Genomic DNA, 16,175 nt, shown 5'->3' with positions numbered 1-16,175 from the left:
GTTCCCAACCCCCACCTACCCCATCCCCCATTTGTTAACCCATTTCTGTATTTAGAAGCACTTAGCAAAGAGTCTGTGGTTAGAACTGGGGCTTCAATTAAGGGTCTTATCACACTGCCCACATGACCAAAATGGAAATCAAGGACAAACCAAGGGGAGAAATATTACAAAAGCAAAATGGGAAAATGGCAAACAGATCCTTTTCAATTAGCTGCTGCATTTATCTCTTCCCCCAAAAGAGAATCTTCTGCTGCTTCTGCTTCTTCATCTGCACAACGGGGATGTAGCCATCATACATGCCTGCAAGGCTGTAGTGAGATCCTGGACATGAAAGCATTCTGAAAACTGAAAAGTACAATGCACCTGTGTTTCTGCCTAAGCTCTCTAAGGTGAGTGGCCTTAGATAAGTCAACATCTCCTGGCCTCGGCTTCTTTAATTACCGTATTAAAATAGAGGTAATAAGAGTATCTCACAGGATTGTTGTGAGGAAGAAGTGAAATAATACAAAGCATTTTGGGGCCTAAACATAAGAGTGCAACTATCCAGTTAATAAGATTACTAGCCTAGTCAACTGGACTCTTTCTTGAAAGGAGGGGTATAAAAAAACCAATACTGGCCAAGGAACTGCAAGAACTAGGCTCTAACCAGCTGGGTGACCTTGAGCAAGCCGCTGACCCTCTCCAAATCGTTGTTCCCGTGGTCGCAAAATTAGTATTTTAAGAGTGGATCCCTGGGCTCCTACCAGCTCTTCCACTCCGCTGTTAAGGCGCTGGAACAAAGGCCACCCGCTCCCCAGCCCGTACCCGAGGGGCCACAACTCAAAATTTCTTCTGCTCAATTCCCCTTGCAGCGTGACAGCAGGAGCGCCCGGGTCTCCATCCCGGAGAGATGTGTCCACACTCCGCCGCCACTGCTCTCTTCATCAGCAACTTGCTTCTGCAGTCGCTGCCCAAAGTTTCGCGGAGCACCCGGCGACCTGGCCGTCGGTCAATCCTGAGAAGCCCAGGGATTCGGGGCGCGGAGACTGGGGGCTGGGCCCCGGGAATCCCAAAGACGTCCCCGCGGCCAGGAAGGGAGTGACAGGTGCGACGCGCGGTCGCGGGCGGCGGGAGAGCGGACCACGGAAACCGCGTGTGGGCGCGCGAGGGAGGCGGCGGCCACGCGCTCTCCTTAGGCCGCTCCCTGAGACGCCCCCGCGACGTCCCTAGCCCCGCGCTCTGGAACCCGCGACCCTCGCGCCGCTTTCGGCCCCGCGGCGCCCCAGATCCCACGGCCTCCCGGAGCGGCGCAGCTGGGTCGGGCTCACGCTCGCAGCGCCGGAAGGGTTGAGGACCGCCGGGGGCACCGTGCGCACGGGGTTCTTCCCGCGCGAACCGGGGCTGTCGGGGGGTGGGCGCACGCGCACCCGGGCGCGCCGCCGTAACCCCTTCCTCCCCGCGCGGCCCCCGCACTCCCACCCACCCACCACTCACCGTCGATGTCTCCCAGGGTCAGCTCGTCGCCCAGCTCCGTGAGGGTCTCCATGGTCTCCAGACCACCCAGCTCGCCGCTGTCGTCCATCGCCCGGCTCAGCGCAGAAGCCCCCCCTGCCGTCCCGCTCAGGGAGACGCGGGGGCGGTGCCGTCGCCACCGCCCATGACACCCGACAACCCCCGCCCGGCACCGCCTCACCGACGGGTGCCACCCGCCGCCATGTTTGCGTTGCGCCCGGGCGCCGCACAGAAAGGGCGGGGCGGGATTCCCCCGCCCCAGCCCGCGCCCCCTGCGGCCCCGCCTCCAGGCCGCGCGCCCCCCTGTTTGTTGTCAATGGGACCAGGCTCATCTCAGCCAATGGGCGAGCGAAGCGGTGCGTGGGGTGATGGCGCGTCATCGATCAGCAGCTCAGATTTGCATAGTGAGGTCCCTCCCCCCGCGGCCTCGGAGCGAATGCCTGGAGTAGCCGTCCGGTCATCATCTTAACCTTCTCCGCCTTGTTTAAAGGAGCCGCTGCCTTCTCCGTTGGATCTGCGCCACACGCAAGTCCGTCCACTGGCCTGGGAGTGAAGGGTTAACAGGCCACCCTCCACCTGCGACCGCTGGCCGCCTCCAGGCCTGGCTGGGAGCACATTACGTCATCTTCCCAGCTGCCTACCCCCGCCCTGCCCGCCTGAGAAAGCCAGCGGAGTCAAACCTGGACCCCAGCGCTCGGGACGGGAGTCCGGGTCATCCAAGTCCCGCTTCTCCCAGCCTCCTTACAAAGGCGGGCACGGAGGCTTGACAAGGTTGCAGATTGTCCCAGGGCGGTCAGGATTTTACGTCTTCTGCTTTGCACCCGCCGTGACCTCGCGCTTACTCCAGTGGTCCTCAATCTCTGGCACCTCGGAACCACTGAGGACCTGAAAACCACGCCAGTGCCCAGGCCCACCGACGGCCTCCTGAGAGGGGGGCCCCGGGCACGAGTTTTTTGAAAAAGTTCCACCGGGATTCTGAAGTGCAGCCCACCCACTCCTTCAAGCACCTCACTGCCCCATCTTGCAGCTGGTCGTGTTGTAAACTTCTAGGAATTTATCCAAAGGAATAAAAATTACAAGTGCTTAAAGAAGTGCTGTAACTAGGAAGAAGTGAGAATAAGGAAATGAATATGTAAATTACATCCACACGATGGAATACCATGGGATCATTAAAAATTACGCACACAAATGTATATTTATTAGCAAGAAAAGGCGTTCACAATATATTGATAAAAGGGAAAAGTTGAAGTTTCCTGCCAGTTTGTGAGAGGCAGCTGTTGCTTAGTGATCAATAATTAAGAACACACAGGCTGTGTGGAGGCAGACACATGGATCCACTAATTCACTGTGACCTTGGGTTAATTGTTCTAAGCCTCAGTTTAGTCATCTCTAAAATGGGGATAAAATAGCATCCCTCATAGCTGTGGTTAAGTGAGATTATTTGCACATTCAATTGACAATATTTATTGAACATCTCTGTGGCAGGGAAACAAATGGTTCCTGCCCTCTGAGAGCTTCCAGTCTAGCAAAAAAAAAAATCAGAAATCCCACACCCGTATTAAACATAAAAATAAATTACAGATGATGGTACAAGTGATCAAGGAAAGGTAATGGATGTGATGAAACTAACAAGGGCCCTGACTTGTGCTGTCAAGAAGCCTCTGAAGAAGTGACATTTAAGATGAAACCTAAAATTATGAGAGAACTGCAGCTGTTACAGCCAAAGGGGAAATGATGACATGGACAAAGGCCTCGAGGCAGGAGGAGCTGCTGGCAGCCAGCTCTCGGCATAAGCTTTGGCATACAGTAAGTGCCTTGCATACTGCTGTATTGCAATTGAAAAAATAAGGATCTGGCCAGGCGCGGTGGCTCACACCGGTAATTCCAGCACTTTAGGAGGCCGAGGTGTGCAGATCATTTGAGGTCAGGAGTTGGAGACCAGCCTGACCAACATGGTGAAACCCCGTCTCTACTAAAAATACAAAAATTAGCCGGGTGTGGTGGCGCATGCCTGTAATCCCAGCTAACCGGTAGGAGAACTGCCGGAACCTGGGAGATAGAGGCTGCAGTGAGCTGAGATCATGTCGCTGCACTCCAGCCTGGGAGACAGAGCAAGACTCTGTCTCAAAAAAAAGAAAGAAAAAATACAAAGAGAGTCCGGGCAAGGTGGCTCACGCCTGTAATCCCAGCACTTTGGGAGGCTGAGGTGGGCGGATTGCCTGAGGTCGGGAGTTCGAGACCAGCTTGGCCAGCTTGGTGAAACCCCGTCTCTACTAAAAATACAAAAATTAGCCAGGCGTGATGGTGCATGCCTGTAATCCCAGCTACTCAGGAAGCTGAGGCAGGAGACTTGCTTGAACCCGGGAGGCAGAAGTTACGGTGAGCAGAGATCGCGCCATTGCACTCCAGCCTGGGCAACAGGAGACTGCGTCTCAAAAAAAAAAAAAAAAAAAAAAGAAAAGAAAAGAAAAAATAAGGATCTGTGTGCTCACCTGAAGGTTAAAAACGATGGAAGACCCAACAGCTGGCTGTCAGACATAGTTACAGGAGTAGTGAGATTTGGGGTGAATTTTACTTTTGGAGTGAATTTTACTTTCTTTTTGGCATTTCAGTATTGCTTAAATTACGTTTTATAATGAACGTGTATAACTAATGAGAAATAGATAGTGTCTTATTTTTTGGGAAAGCAAGACAACATTGTTCTCGTCATTGTTCACACACAGGGAGGCTGGTATAGAATACACCAGTCTCACCCTGAAAGACACAGAAAACTAAACCCTGCTCTGGACACAGCACTGAGCAGGAAGGTGCCACCTTCAACTGTGCTGCCCAGTGGCTCTTGCAAGGCCCCTCACACTGGTGTGTGACTGGTACTCTGGGGGGATTCAGCAACAACTCCCATACAACTCACTCTGGCCCAGGGCACCCCCCACAACCCAGAACCTCAGTGACCCCCTCCAGAGGTGGCACACAGCACCTGCTCCCATAGTTCCCCACTGAGCCTGCCCAGAGGGCGTGATGCCTCGCCAAGTGGACTGAAGGGGTACAACTGAAGGCTCAGTAGAAATGGTGGAAGAAGGGTGGCTGGACCCGAACCTCAGGAAGCACTGATATTTTCCCTCTGGCCCTGGATCCCATGTAACTGAACATCTCTTCCAGGTGGTACCTTGCTCTGGCTAGCAGGAGGACAAGGGCTGGCTCTGAGAGGTAGAACAGCTTTTGACAAGTCACTCCTCAGAACCTGAGCTCTTCATCTGAAAAGAGATGGACAGCCGGGCACGGTTGCTTACGCCTGTAATCCCAGCACTTTAGGAGGCCGAGGCAGGCAGATCACGAAGTCAAGAGATCGAGACCATCCTGGCCAATATGGTGAAACCCATCTCTACTGAAAATACAAAAATTAGCTGGTCATGGTGGCAAGCACCTGTAGTCCTAGCTACTCAGGAGGCTGAGGCAGAAGAATCACTTGAACCCGGGAGGCGGGGGTTGCAGTGAGCCGAGATCGCACCACTGCACTCCAGGCAGGCAACAAAGTGAGACTTGTCTCAAAAAAAAAGAAAAAAAAGAAAGAAAGAAAGAAAAGGGATGGATTAGACTGGGTAACCACTATGTTTCGATATCTACCATGGATTGGGCATGTGCTACGGGTCACAGAAGATAATTTTGTATATGGTTTTTCATTTACTTCCTCTGACACTTTCCCCTTTTTCCCACAGCACCTGTCCTTTTCTTCCTCTTCCCCTAATCTTTCAGGATTCAGTTCAGATATTACTTCCTCTAGGAAGCCTTCCAATTGGATTAACCAAAAGCATGTACTCCACTGTTTGACACAGAGATGGGGTTAGAGAGGGAAATAACCAGTTTGGTTTTGGAAACATAAGCGATGAGAATTATCAGGTAGTAACCGGGCGAGTATTCAGCTTTTAGGTCTTAGAGAGTATGGCTGCCCAAAAAGAAAATAGAAACAGCTCCATAAAAAACTTCATGCAAACGGGGGCAGGTGAGGAAAGAAGAATCCGGAAGAGAGAGTCAGCTCAGACTTGACAGCAGAGAACTACAACAACAAGCCTGAGAGAATCACCTCAAGGAGCTGTCAACAGCATCTCTCTGAGGACAGTGATGGGGAAGGGGAGGAAGATGTGGGACTGGAATAAGGAGAAGGGCTGTGGACCAGAGAGGTTTTCCCTCCCAGTGGACATCTGGCAATGTCTGGACACATTTTTGGTTGTCGTAACTGGGGGACTGCTACAGGCACCTGGCAGGGAGAGGCCGGGATGCTGCTAAAATAGCCTACAACACACAGGACAGCCCTCTTCACACTCACACACCCAACGATTACCTAGCCCCAAACGTTAATAGTGCCGCTGCTGGAAAACGCTGTCTTAAAGGATATCAGGGAGCTCACAGACTAGCAGCTGAGTAGACAGGAGCAATGTCCAAGATCACACTGAAAACACCACTGTTGCCACCACTGGGCACCCTGGCACTGGTCACTGGACTTGGCATTAGAGCCACCCCTTCACTGCTGCCCCTGGTACCTGTGACCACTACCGCCACCAGCACGACTCCCACAGTGGTATATGCAGTTGGTAGCGCTATAGTGACCTAACAATCCCAGCTGCAAGAGGCAGCTGGACAAACATGTGCCCTAGGGCCTTTACAGCTCAGGGGGTGGGCTCTGTCTGCAGTAAGACTCAGCAAGTGGACTTCCTGGAGCAAGTGACTATAACAATCAATAGTGGCAGTAAAGGGAGGGAGAGAGGGAGCGAGTGGAGTAGTTCTATTTGTTTCTTTGAAGGTGCCCATTTGAGGGCAGAAAGGACAGGATTAACCAGGTTGGAGAGAGGATGACGGTATTAGAGGAAAGAGCCCAGGAGGAAGGAGGTGCCAGAAGGGGCAGATGAGGAGATAGTTCAAGACCAGGCCCCACTCTTTGGCTCTGCATATATAGCAGGCAGTCAGTAAATACATGGGATGAACAAGGAACCGTCAGAGAAGGGCACACATCACTGAGAAGTCACTTAAATTCCAGGTTTCATCCTTTCAACCACTGGGCATTCTGAGATGGGGGGCCCAAGGATCTGAGTGTGAAGAGCCTGGTTCTGATAACAACAGCTGGCAAGAGACAGCCCAGGCTGGTCCCAAGTTGCCCAGGTCTTGCCACCACACTGGGCTGGCTTCCCCATTGCTCTGCAGTTGCCCAGCTCTGCTTCAAATTATACAAATCCTGCTAATGACAGAGCCCGTAGAAGTTATTCAGTAGAAAGAACCTCCAGCCGAAGCTGGACCCACCACTGACTGTCCTGAGGTATGCTTTAGCCTCCCTGCCACCCCAAGAAAGCTAGGTCTGCTGCCAACCAGGCCTGGTTCTTAGAAAGTTTTTTCTCCAGTTAAGGGGAAAGCCAAGCACCTTCTCTGCTAAGTCAGCAACCACAACCACTCTCTAGCATGAAAAGGACAGCGACTGGCCTGGTCCTTCCGGCAGGGAAGAGCTTGCGGGCTGGTCCTGACACCCAGCTCCAGCTGCTGGCACCAGGACAGGTTAAACAGCTGAGCCAGTGAATCTGACCCTTTCCCGTTGATGCAGGAAAATAGGGTCTGGAGGCAGGGAACATAAGGCCAATTCACGCTTCAGCTATAACAGGGAATATCCTCCCCATAGGGTATATGCTGTAAATGAATTTGTAAATTTACTTCATCCTTTCCATTTACATAGGGTGTACCTCAAGTAACCAATGGAATCCTCTAGTGGGTATTTACTCCCAAAAATTCTGTAACGGGCCCCTTGAGTCCCTATGCTCAGGCCCTCTCCCATGCTGTGGAGTATACTTTCATTCTCAGTAAAACCCTTCATTCCTTCCTTGCTTTGTGCATTTTGCCCAATTCTTTGTTCAAGACATCAAGAACCTGGACACCCTCCACTGTTAATGCCATGGACCAGCCCTTTAGTTCACAGACTCGGGTGTCCATGTGGCTGGGGTCACACAACCTGAGAAGGGCAGGGTGGAGATGAAACTATGTCTGTTGAGTCAGTCCCACCACACTGCCCTGCCTCCACTGCCCAGTGAGGGGCCTTCTGATGGGGAAATTTCTCCAGCACTCCTCCCAGCCCCCACACCCAGCTCTCTTCCAGCTGCTTCTTGTCCCCTTACTTCCGAGTAACTGATGGGTGCAGGATGTTCTGGGCCCTTCCATGAGGCTTCTCTAAGGCTTGGCTTCCCTTTGCTGCTGCAGCCCCGTAGGGAGGCCAGCCTCAGAGAAACAGGTTAGGGCTGGGCAGGGGATACAGATACCATCAAATTCATTTTGCCAATGAAGCTGCAGCACAGGGAGGGGTGGGCCAAGGCCAGTCAGCAAATCTGAAGGGCTAACACTCAGATCTCACTTGTGCTCTGTCAGTGGTAGGGGGCTGGGTGTCGAGGGGATCTGGGATGGTTTTCTCTGCTCCTTTAAGAGGCAGATCCTGACTTGGCAAGGTCAAAGAGGCAGAGCTAGAATTCTCACTAAAGCCCTTCCCTCCTCTGCTTGGGAGGGGCATGAGTGAAGGGCAGCTGCCCTACCCAGGGCCACATGCCCTCTGCAGCTTCCCTGCCCTGTGGCCTCCCGAGACGGGAAGCTGTCTGACCCATGCAGCTTAGGGCAGCCATTGCGGAGCACGGCCTCCTGCAGGGCTGCGGCCTGTCCCCCTGCAGCCCCCCACCCACAGGTTGACTGTCTTCCAGCGCTGCCAGAGAGAACAAGCTGACTTCCCTGTGCTTGCTCAATGACTGTCCCCAGACATCTGAGGACAGGGATCATGTTGCTCCAAGGTCTTCTTGAGCTAAATGTTTCCCAGGTCCCAGGGCACTTCCAGGTCCTTTCCCAACACCAATCATTTGTCAAGGGCAGTGATGGCGTAGGACCAGGAGGCCCAAGCCAAGCCCCTTCCTTCTCTGCCCTGCCAGGGCCTGGGGCCCCTCCTGGTGGGGCAGAGGCATCCTCCAAGCTGTTTCTACATCCCTGAGGGGCCCTGGTCCCCTCACAGTGTCCCCACCAGCCTTGGTCGGTCCAAAGGGTCTGCTGGCTTTTATTGTGTCTCTGCAGAGGGGCTGGGACCTGTGCCAGGCAGCTCTGTGACACAGTGGGGCCAGCAGCAGGGTGGCACCCTGACCCGTGGCTCAGAACCTAGTTCTGCTGCTTCCCCACCAAGGGCGGAAGCCAGCTGGCCAGAGGTCTTCAGCCACCAACAGGGTCCAGGCAGGCATCCTCCTGCCTCCCCCAGCAGTCTGCACAGGGTCATATTTCCAGCATAAAATCCTCTGAAGGCCCCTTCAGCAGGAGGCCCCTGAGAGAAAATCCAGCCATCTGAGGCTCAGTCCCTTCAGCTGGGGCTCAGACCCAGCTCCAGGGGGCCGGGCAAATGTGGCCTCCCCTTCTGGAAGGGGCTAGCTGGTGCTCTCCACCACAACCACACCTCCACCTCTTCTTCCTCCCGACCTGCCTCCTTGTGGCCCCCTGAGCCCTGAGCTGCTCCAGGGCTATAACTCAGACTGGGATCTGGAGATCCTTGGGCCTTTTCGGATCTCCTTCCGCTTCTCCTCTTTCTTTCGGCGTTTCTCTTCTTCTCTCAGGGCCTTCTGGAAAGGGTCAGTGCTGGGAATGAACTGAAGGGAAGAGAAGAGCAGTCTGATTTAGTCTGTGGCAGCAAAGAGCCTGCTCTGAGCTAGGCCACCAGCGGGGTGTGGGAATAGGAAGGTTCCCTGGACACAGGCCCTGCCCCAGACACGGAGACAGGAAATGGGTTTGGGAGAACTGCTGAGTGGGTGTTGGAAGATAAGCAGGAGTTTGCCAAACCAACGGCATGAGGAAAGGGAAGGGTATTCTAGGTGGAGGGACGGATGCTGAGGTGGGAACCTACATGGGGCATCTGAGAAACAACACACAGACTCCTCCAGGGTGAGGGAGTAGAGTGGCTGAGACCACCACAGACCCGGGAGCCCCACACCTGCTGCACCCTTCAGGAGGAGAGGAGGGAGGTCAGCCAGAGTCACAGATGACAAGGCAAGTGGGGGGGTGGAGGATGAGGACTTCATTGGCGGTAGGGGGTGGCGTGGGGGCATTCTTCAACTGCAACCCAGGCCCTTGGCTGTCCTCCCTCCTCTCTCTCCAGATTGTCTCGTCTAACTCATAGCTTCTGTTGGCCTGTGTGGTTAGTTACCCCTCAAACTTGCATCTCCATTTCCAAATGCCTGTCTGAGACCTCCTTTAGGATGTCCCAAATGCACCCTAGACTCAGTATGGTTCCCTCTCCCCAGAGTCCCTGTTCTGATGAGCAGCAGGGCAGAAACCGAGGAGCCCCACCTGCACCCGGCATTCCCTCTCCCTCCTCGGGTCCATCACCAAGGCCTGGCTACTTTCAAGCCCTAAATCTCTCTCAAACCCATCCACTTCTCTGTCTCTACTATTGCTGCCCCCATCACCACCCCCATCTCTCTGCTGGATGACTCTAGGGGCCTCCCAAGGGCTTTCCACATCCCCTTTGGTCCCTCTCAAGTCATTCTCCTCACTGCAGTTGGATCTTTTCTTTTCTTTTCTTCTTTTTAGACAGAGGTCTTGCTCTGTCGCTCAGGCTGGAGTGCAGTGGTGAAATCTTGGCTCACTGCCACCTCCACCTCCCGGGTTCAACCGATTCTCCTGCCTCAGCCTCCCAAGTAGCTGGGATTACAAGCGCCCACCACCACACCTGGCTAATTTTTGTATTTTTAGTAGAGCCAGGGTTGCGCTATGTTGGCCAGGCTAGTCTCAAACCTTGACTTCACGTGATCCATCCGCCTCAGCCTCCCAAAGTGTTGGGATTACAGGCATGAGCCACTGCGCCGGATGGATCTTTTCAAAATGTAAATCTGTGCATGTCACATTCCAGCTTCCATGGCTCTCCATGACTCTCAAGACAAAGTTCCACATGGTGTATCTGCAGGTCCACCCCGCCCGCCTCTCTGTTCCTACCCTCATATCCCCCACCTTTATGTTCTTGGATTCCCTGTACCCTCTCACTTCCAGGCCTTTGCATGTGCTGTGGCTGAGGCCCAGAACGCTCTTTCCAACACCCACCCCTCTGCCACATTAGCTCGGGCTCAGCTGACTCACTGCCCTCTAGACCTGCCCTGACTCCCTGAGGGGCTGCTCCTGGTGGTGTGCTCCCTTCAACTTTGTGCTGATTCCTTCTTTCTTGTGCCCATCGCCCTCCCAGACAGCACATTCCATGAGGGTAGGAGGATAGTGTCCTCTGCCACAAGGCCTTAGCACAGAGTCTTCCTGGCTTTTCAAGAGCATTCAATATGTGTTTTTTCAATGAATGAGCAAGCCACGTTAGAATAGGAAATACAATAGCACAGCAGGTCCTCGAATAAAGTGGTTTAGTTCAAGGTCGTGTCATTATAATGTGGATGAGAAAAAAAACAATCGATTCCTGGCCAGGGCCACTGTCTGTGTGGAGTCCACACATTCTCCCCGTGTTCTGGTGGGTTTTCTCTGGGTACTCCAATTTCTTCCCACATCCCAAAGATGTGCATGTTGGGTTCACTGGTATGTCTACACTGTCTCAGTCTGACTGTGGAGGCATGTGTGAGTGTGCCCTGTGATGGGAGGGCGTCCTGTCCAGGGTTGGTTCCTCCCTTATGCTCTGAGTTGCTGGGAGAGGCTGGACCCTGAACGGGACTAAATGGATAAATAATTATTTTACTTGTTTTGATGAATCTTTCTTAAATGTATGTATAGTTCACATTTATTTCAATGTTTCATATTAAGAGTGTTTTGGTTTTTATTTTGAAGACTGGAGTTGGGCGCCGTGGCTCATGCCTATAATCCCAGCATTTTGGGAAACTGAGGTGGGCAGATCACTTGAGGTCAGGAGTTCAAGACCAGCCTGGTCAACATAGCGAAACCTTGTCTCTACTGAAAAATACAAAAATTAGTCAGGTGTGGTGATGGGCGCCTGTATTCCCGGCTACTTTGGAGGCTGAGACAGGAGAATCACCTGAACCCAGGAGGCGGGGGTTGCAGTGAGCTGAGATTGTACCACTGCACTCCAGTCTGGGCAACAGAGCGAGACTTTGTCTCAAAAAAAAAAAAAAAAAAAAAATTCTGGTAATGGTTTTTTGACCAGAAATATGCTGTAGTAACTTAACTCTTATTTATATCTATTACCCTATGGTAAATTGGTTTGTAATACATAGATTCACTTAAAGTCACAGTTTCCAAGAACCTATGGATGATGTTAGGTGAAGATTTACTATGCCTACAACTCAGGTAGCTGTGCTGTAAAACACACCCTTTTATTTGTTCCTAGGGCAATTGTGACAAATGTTTGATCTGATCAAAGTAGATACTAAAAACAAACAAATGGCTCCACCTTGTGGAATAATCTGCCTACCAGGTTAGATTGAGTCATGACTTTGGAAGATGGGGGGATTCACAGAAGTGTAGCCCAGAGAAGGTAAGTGAGTCACATAGCATGTGGTAGGCCCAACTAGGACTAGCCTTGCAGGCTGCACACTTCCCTGCCTAGTACTTCCCTACCACACTCTGCTCCTGTCTCTGTGAGTGAATCCTGATCCACTTAAGACGGGGAGCTGGGAGACCCCTTAGGCCACAGAGACCCCATTCCTCTCTGACTCTGGCTGGGCAAGGGCAAGTCAAGAGATCTTAGCCCCTTCAGCCTCAGCAGGCTCAGCCTAACCTAGCCGGGTCAGAAGAGAAACACACCCATCCTTTCCCTGTTCCCTTCCCCACCTAGGCCTGGCAGTGCCTAGTCATCTTTTGAATCTATCTTTAGATGTCTCCCCAGGAATCTTCCCTGGCCACCCCTGATTGTACCTGACCAGCCTGGGTCAGGTCAGCAGGCTGATGGCCAACACAGCACTGTGGTTAAGAGCATGGTTCAAGAGGCAGACCACATGTATTTGAACCTTCACTCCATCACTTACTGGCTGTGAGACCTCAGGTTGATTACTGTACCTCCCTGTGCCTCCGCTGTCTTCACTGTTAGGTTAGTCATCAATTTATTTCCTCTCTATTCCAAATTCACTCTTCATTGCCTGCTCTGCAAAAATGCATCTGGCTCCAGGATAGAGCCCCAAACTCCTAAGCTTGTTGTTCAAAGGCCCGGACCCCATGCTACGTCTCCAGCCTTATCTCCTCCTGTCTTCAAGCTACCCTGCTCTGCCTGTCCCTGACAACAACCACATCCTCCATAGCCTCAAGCATGCCACTCTGGCCACCGCCTTCTACCTTCTCTAACTCCTTAGCCCTACAATAACCACGAGCAGGCCCTCCGTGCTGCCGGCAATCCAGCCTCATTCCCTGGTCCGCTCATCCTCCTGCTCTCCTGCACATACCTTCTCCTCAAGCCTCCGTGCTCCCCTCACTCCCAGACCATGACCTTGCTTTCTATCTCACAGAGAGGATGAAAGTAGCAGGAGACAACCCCCACAGCTCGACCACCACACCCACCAACCCATTTGCTTCTGTGCCCACATGCTCTGCCCGCCCTCCTGTTCAAGGTTAAGGACCTGCTCTTCTGTACAAGGCCAAGCCTTCCCCCAGCACTACAACTCACCCCTCCTCACCTCCTCCAGATGAGGCTCCAGCAACCTAGCCCCTGGCCTCATCACGTCCTCCCTCTCTAATGGATCAGTCCCATCCACATAGTGCAAGCCTGCTGTGGTCTCTCCCAAGGGACTAACATTGGAAACCACATTGTCCTCCAGCTATTCTCCCATTAAGGACAAAAAACCAAACACCGCATGTTCTCACTCATAGATGGGAATTGAACAATGAGAACACATGGACACAGGAAGGGGAACATCACACTCTGGGGACTGGTGGGGGGAGGGGGGAGGGATAGCATTAGGAGATATGCCTAATGCTAAATGACAAGTTAATGGGTGCAGCACACCAGCATGGCACATGTATACATATGTAACTAACCTGCACATTGTGCACATGTACCCTAAAACTTAAAGTATAATAATAATAAAAAAAAAAAGAAAGGAAAACTTTTCGAAAGGGCTGTCTATACTTGCCACATCCACTTCCTTTCCTCTCATTCTCTGGAAATCCAATCTTTTGTTCCCAGGACCCCCTCAAAGCAGCTTTTATCAAGACCACCAGCGGCCTCAACATTACTCAGTCCAGCAGTCGATTCTCAGTCCTCGCCTTCCTTACCTCCCAGCAGCGTCTGACACACCGATCGCTCCCTCCCTACTTCTAACGCTTTCCTCATGTGGCCTCTGGGAAACTCTTGGGTCGGCCACCATCATGCTGACTGCTCCTTCTGCGGGTTCTCGCTGCTTCCTCCTCAGTCCTTCAACCTCTATCTCCAGCCCCATCCCAGGCCTCAGTCCTCAGACTGCTTCTCTACCTGCCCGATGCCCCAGATGACTGTGTCCTGTCTCACGGCTTTTGGTGCCTTCTACATAGGCATGGCTCTCACATTTATAAGTCCAGCTTCTCCTTCCTCCCTGAAGTCTCGAGTCAAATATCCAGCTACCTCCTTGACATCTTTACTCCGATGTTCACCAGGTGCAGAAAAAAACTCTTACTACCCTCCCTCTCCAAGCATTTGAAAAAATGAGTCCCATTCTTCCAGACACTCAGGCCAAAAGTCTTCTAGTCATGCTTAACGCTCCTCTCTCTCTCACCACATATGCTTCCTCAGCAAATCCCACTGGCTCTACTTCCAAAAGAGAAGCAGAACCTGACCATTTCTCAGCAGCTCCACTGTCATCGTCTGGTTCAAGCCACTATCAACTGCCACACAGATGAGCACAGCAGCCTCCACACCTGTGTCCCTGCTTCTGGTCCCCGACCATGCTCCACACAGCAGCCAGATGACCTCTTTAAAGTGGTAAGTCTGCGCCTGTAATCCTAGCTACTCAGGAGGCTGAGGCAGGAGAATCGCTTGAATCTGGGAGGCGGAGGTTGTGGTGAGCCAAGATCGCACCATTGCACTCCAGCCTGGGCAACAAGAGCAAAAATCTGTCTTAAAAATATATATATAAATAACGGCTGGGAGCGGTGGCTCACACCTGTAATCCCAGCACTTTGGGAGGCCGAGGTGGGCGGATCACGAGGTCAGAAGATCGAGACGATCCTGGCTAATATGGTGAAACCCCGTCTATATTAAAAATACAAAAAAATTAGCCGGGCGTGGTGGTGGGTGCCTGTAGTCCCAGCTACTGAGGAGGCTGAGGCAGGAGAATGGCGTGAACCTGGGAGGCAGAGCTTGCAGTGAGCCAAGATCGCGCCACTGCACTCCAGCCTGCGTGGACAGAGTGAGACTCCGTCTCAAAAAAAAAAAATTATATATATATATATATATATATATATATATATATAAAGTGGTAAGTCACAGCCTGCTCTCCAGGTCCCTCAGGGTAGGTGCCAAAGCCCTTGTGAAGACCTCTGAGGGTCTCAGGATCAGGCCTACAACTCTGACCCCATCTCCTGACACTCCCCAGCCCCAAAATATGCTTCCAACTCACAGCCTTTGCACTTGCTGCTCCTTCAGCCTGGAATGTTCTTCCTTGGGATACACAGATGACTCCTCATCTCCTTCAGATAATTCAGTAAGACAGTACCCAGGCCATGTGAAATAGCAACTGCACCCCCACCTTACCCCGGGCATTCCTTAACCACATTCCCCTGCCTTTTTTCTCCACAGCCCTTGTCACCACCTACCACATTATATATTTTTAAGTTGACTGCCTGTCTTCCCCAACTAGAATGCCACTCCCAGGAGAACAGGGCTAGCCTGCTTCCCCAAGGGGCAGGATGCAATAGATACTCACTTGATGCTGAATGAATGAATGTGGGATGCATCTGAGCCTTTGCATAAGTTCGTCCCTCTGCCCTGAAGGCCCTGCCTCAGCTGGTCCACCCAGCAAATAACTCATCCCACCTCCCTGCCAAGGCTGGGTCAGGCTCGCCTCAGAGAATTATGCTTCTTACCAGTATAACAGTTACACCGGATTAGAACTATTTCCCTGCTGCCTTCCCCATCAGACTGTGAGCATCTGAGGAGCTGCGACAGGGCCAGCCCCCTGGACAGGGACAGTGGCTGGCACACAGCCTGATACGAGTTGACTCTAGTGATGGGTACATAAGAAGCAGGAGAACTCAGAACTCTCACCAGCATGGAGGGAGTATGTGAGGGGAGCCAAGCAAATCTGGGGCTCCTGCGAGAGACAAGTCCACGCAGGATATCAAAAAGTGAGGAAAATCTCAGAACTGTCCCCATCCAGCATGTAAGGAAAGTATGTTGCTGCTGTGGTTATGTCCAAGTAGAATACGTTATGATAAAGCTGGACTCAACTTATCCTGGCACCCATTCTCTCTGTGGCCTATGCTGTCACCCTCCTCCTGCGTTTAAGTGAGGCATCTATGACCTGCATAGCAAGAAGAACTGGCATCACAGCAATAAAGCATCTCCATGGGTAACCCCTTGCTGGGAAAGGCAATCTGCCATGGCCTTGAGTGTCCACACATGTTTTCTTGCTGCATAAACCAAGAACGGAAGGCCGTGGCTGTTCTTGATCTGGGCCATTTATCAGGGTAATGATTGCAGCATGCAACCTTGGGGTATGCGTCATTTCAGCTGGGCATGCAGGGGTGGCAGCTACCCCACTGAGGAAACAGCATCCCCG

The 16,175-nt window shown here is 52.3% G+C and overlaps 2 protein-coding genes and 1 long non-coding RNA gene across 11 annotated transcripts in view, besides 10 other annotated features; 1 reads left to right on the top strand and 2 right to left on the bottom strand.

Moving 5' to 3' along the window:
• SREBF2 (sterol regulatory element binding transcription factor 2) overlaps nucleotides 1-1,727 on the bottom strand; it is a 74,201-nt gene extending 72,474 nt beyond the window's left edge. For all 7 annotated transcript variants that reach the window (NR_103834.2, XR_001755276.3, XR_001755277.3 and 4 more), the window contains exon 1: nucleotides 1,474-1,727. Coding sequence is in view for 4 of the 7 variants with exons in the window: in NM_004599.4 (NP_004590.2) it covers nucleotides 1,474-1,561 (88 nt within the window). In the remaining 3 variants the exon portion in view is untranslated. The remainder of the gene's footprint in view (nucleotides 1-1,473) is intronic.
• On the top strand, nucleotides 167-7,351 carry SREBF2-AS1 (SREBF2 antisense RNA 1). Its single transcript, NR_157279.2, has 2 exons — nucleotides 167-389; nucleotides 852-7,351. It is a non-coding gene; the product is annotated as an SREBF2 antisense RNA 1 (long non-coding RNA).
• Nucleotides 1,034-1,423: a silencer, noted in NCBI's record as "silent region_13800". NCBI's record gives its function as "represses an Ori minimal core promoter by ATAC-STARR-seq in GM12878 lymphoblastoid cells {active_cell/tissue: GM12878}" and the evidence as "EXISTENCE:reporter gene assay evidence [ECO:0000049][PMID:35858748]".
• Nucleotides 1,484-1,823: a silencer, noted in NCBI's record as "silent region_13799". NCBI's record gives its function as "represses an Ori minimal core promoter by ATAC-STARR-seq in GM12878 lymphoblastoid cells {active_cell/tissue: GM12878}" and the evidence as "EXISTENCE:reporter gene assay evidence [ECO:0000049][PMID:35858748]".
• Nucleotides 1,484-2,373: a biological region, named in NCBI's record as "NANOG-H3K27ac-H3K4me1 hESC enhancer GRCh37_chr22:42228578-42229234".
• Nucleotides 1,602-2,258: an enhancer, noted in NCBI's record as "NANOG-H3K27ac-H3K4me1 hESC enhancer chr22:42228578-42229234 (GRCh37/hg19 assembly coordinates)". NCBI's record gives its function as "activates a minimal SCP1, AML or CMV promoter by ChIP-STARR-seq in naive H9 embryonic stem cells {active_cell/tissue: H9 hESC(naive)}" and the evidence as "EXISTENCE:reporter gene assay evidence [ECO:0000049][PMID:30033119]".
• Nucleotides 1,864-2,373: an enhancer, noted in NCBI's record as "active region_19137". NCBI's record gives its function as "activates an Ori minimal core promoter by ATAC-STARR-seq in GM12878 lymphoblastoid cells {active_cell/tissue: GM12878}" and the evidence as "EXISTENCE:reporter gene assay evidence [ECO:0000049][PMID:35858748]".
• CCDC134 (coiled-coil domain containing 134) overlaps nucleotides 2,668-16,175 on the bottom strand; it is a 31,486-nt gene continuing 17,978 nt past the window's right edge. For all 3 annotated transcript variants that reach the window (NM_001382346.1, NM_024821.5, NM_001304797.2), the window contains one exon: nucleotides 2,668-9,134. In NM_001382346.1, the coding sequence (NP_001369275.1) occupies nucleotides 9,009-9,134 (126 nt within the window). In that variant the 3' untranslated portion in view covers nucleotides 2,668-9,008. The remainder of the gene's footprint in view (nucleotides 9,135-16,175) is intronic.
• Nucleotides 3,200-3,739: an enhancer, noted in NCBI's record as "H3K27ac-H3K4me1 hESC enhancer chr22:42227097-42227636 (GRCh37/hg19 assembly coordinates)". NCBI's record gives its function as "activates a minimal SCP1, AML or CMV promoter by ChIP-STARR-seq in primed H9 embryonic stem cells {active_cell/tissue: H9 hESC(primed)}" and the evidence as "EXISTENCE:reporter gene assay evidence [ECO:0000049][PMID:30033119]".
• Nucleotides 3,740-4,280: an enhancer, noted in NCBI's record as "H3K27ac-H3K4me1 hESC enhancer chr22:42226556-42227096 (GRCh37/hg19 assembly coordinates)". NCBI's record gives its function as "activates a minimal SCP1, AML or CMV promoter by ChIP-STARR-seq in primed H9 embryonic stem cells {active_cell/tissue: H9 hESC(primed)}" and the evidence as "EXISTENCE:reporter gene assay evidence [ECO:0000049][PMID:30033119]".
• Nucleotides 8,197-8,703: an enhancer, noted in NCBI's record as "H3K27ac-H3K4me1 hESC enhancer chr22:42222133-42222639 (GRCh37/hg19 assembly coordinates)". NCBI's record gives its function as "activates a minimal SCP1, AML or CMV promoter by ChIP-STARR-seq in primed H9 embryonic stem cells {active_cell/tissue: H9 hESC(primed)}" and the evidence as "EXISTENCE:reporter gene assay evidence [ECO:0000049][PMID:30033119]".
• Nucleotides 10,549-11,050: an enhancer, noted in NCBI's record as "NANOG hESC enhancer chr22:42219786-42220287 (GRCh37/hg19 assembly coordinates)". NCBI's record gives its function as "activates a minimal SCP1, AML or CMV promoter by ChIP-STARR-seq in naive and primed H9 embryonic stem cells {active_cell/tissue: H9 hESC(naive and primed)}" and the evidence as "EXISTENCE:reporter gene assay evidence [ECO:0000049][PMID:30033119]".
• Nucleotides 11,762-11,831: an enhancer, noted in NCBI's record as "active region_19136". NCBI's record gives its function as "activates an Ori minimal core promoter by ATAC-STARR-seq in GM12878 lymphoblastoid cells {active_cell/tissue: GM12878}" and the evidence as "EXISTENCE:reporter gene assay evidence [ECO:0000049][PMID:35858748]".

Source organism: Homo sapiens, chromosome 22 (assembly GCF_000001405.40).
Source record: "Homo sapiens chromosome 22, GRCh38.p14 Primary Assembly".
In the NCBI taxonomy this organism is placed as follows: domain Eukaryota; kingdom Metazoa; phylum Chordata; class Mammalia; order Primates; family Hominidae; genus Homo; species Homo sapiens.
The sequence above is the reverse complement of the archived record's forward strand: the minus strand, read 5'-3'. Positions and strand labels throughout refer to the sequence as shown.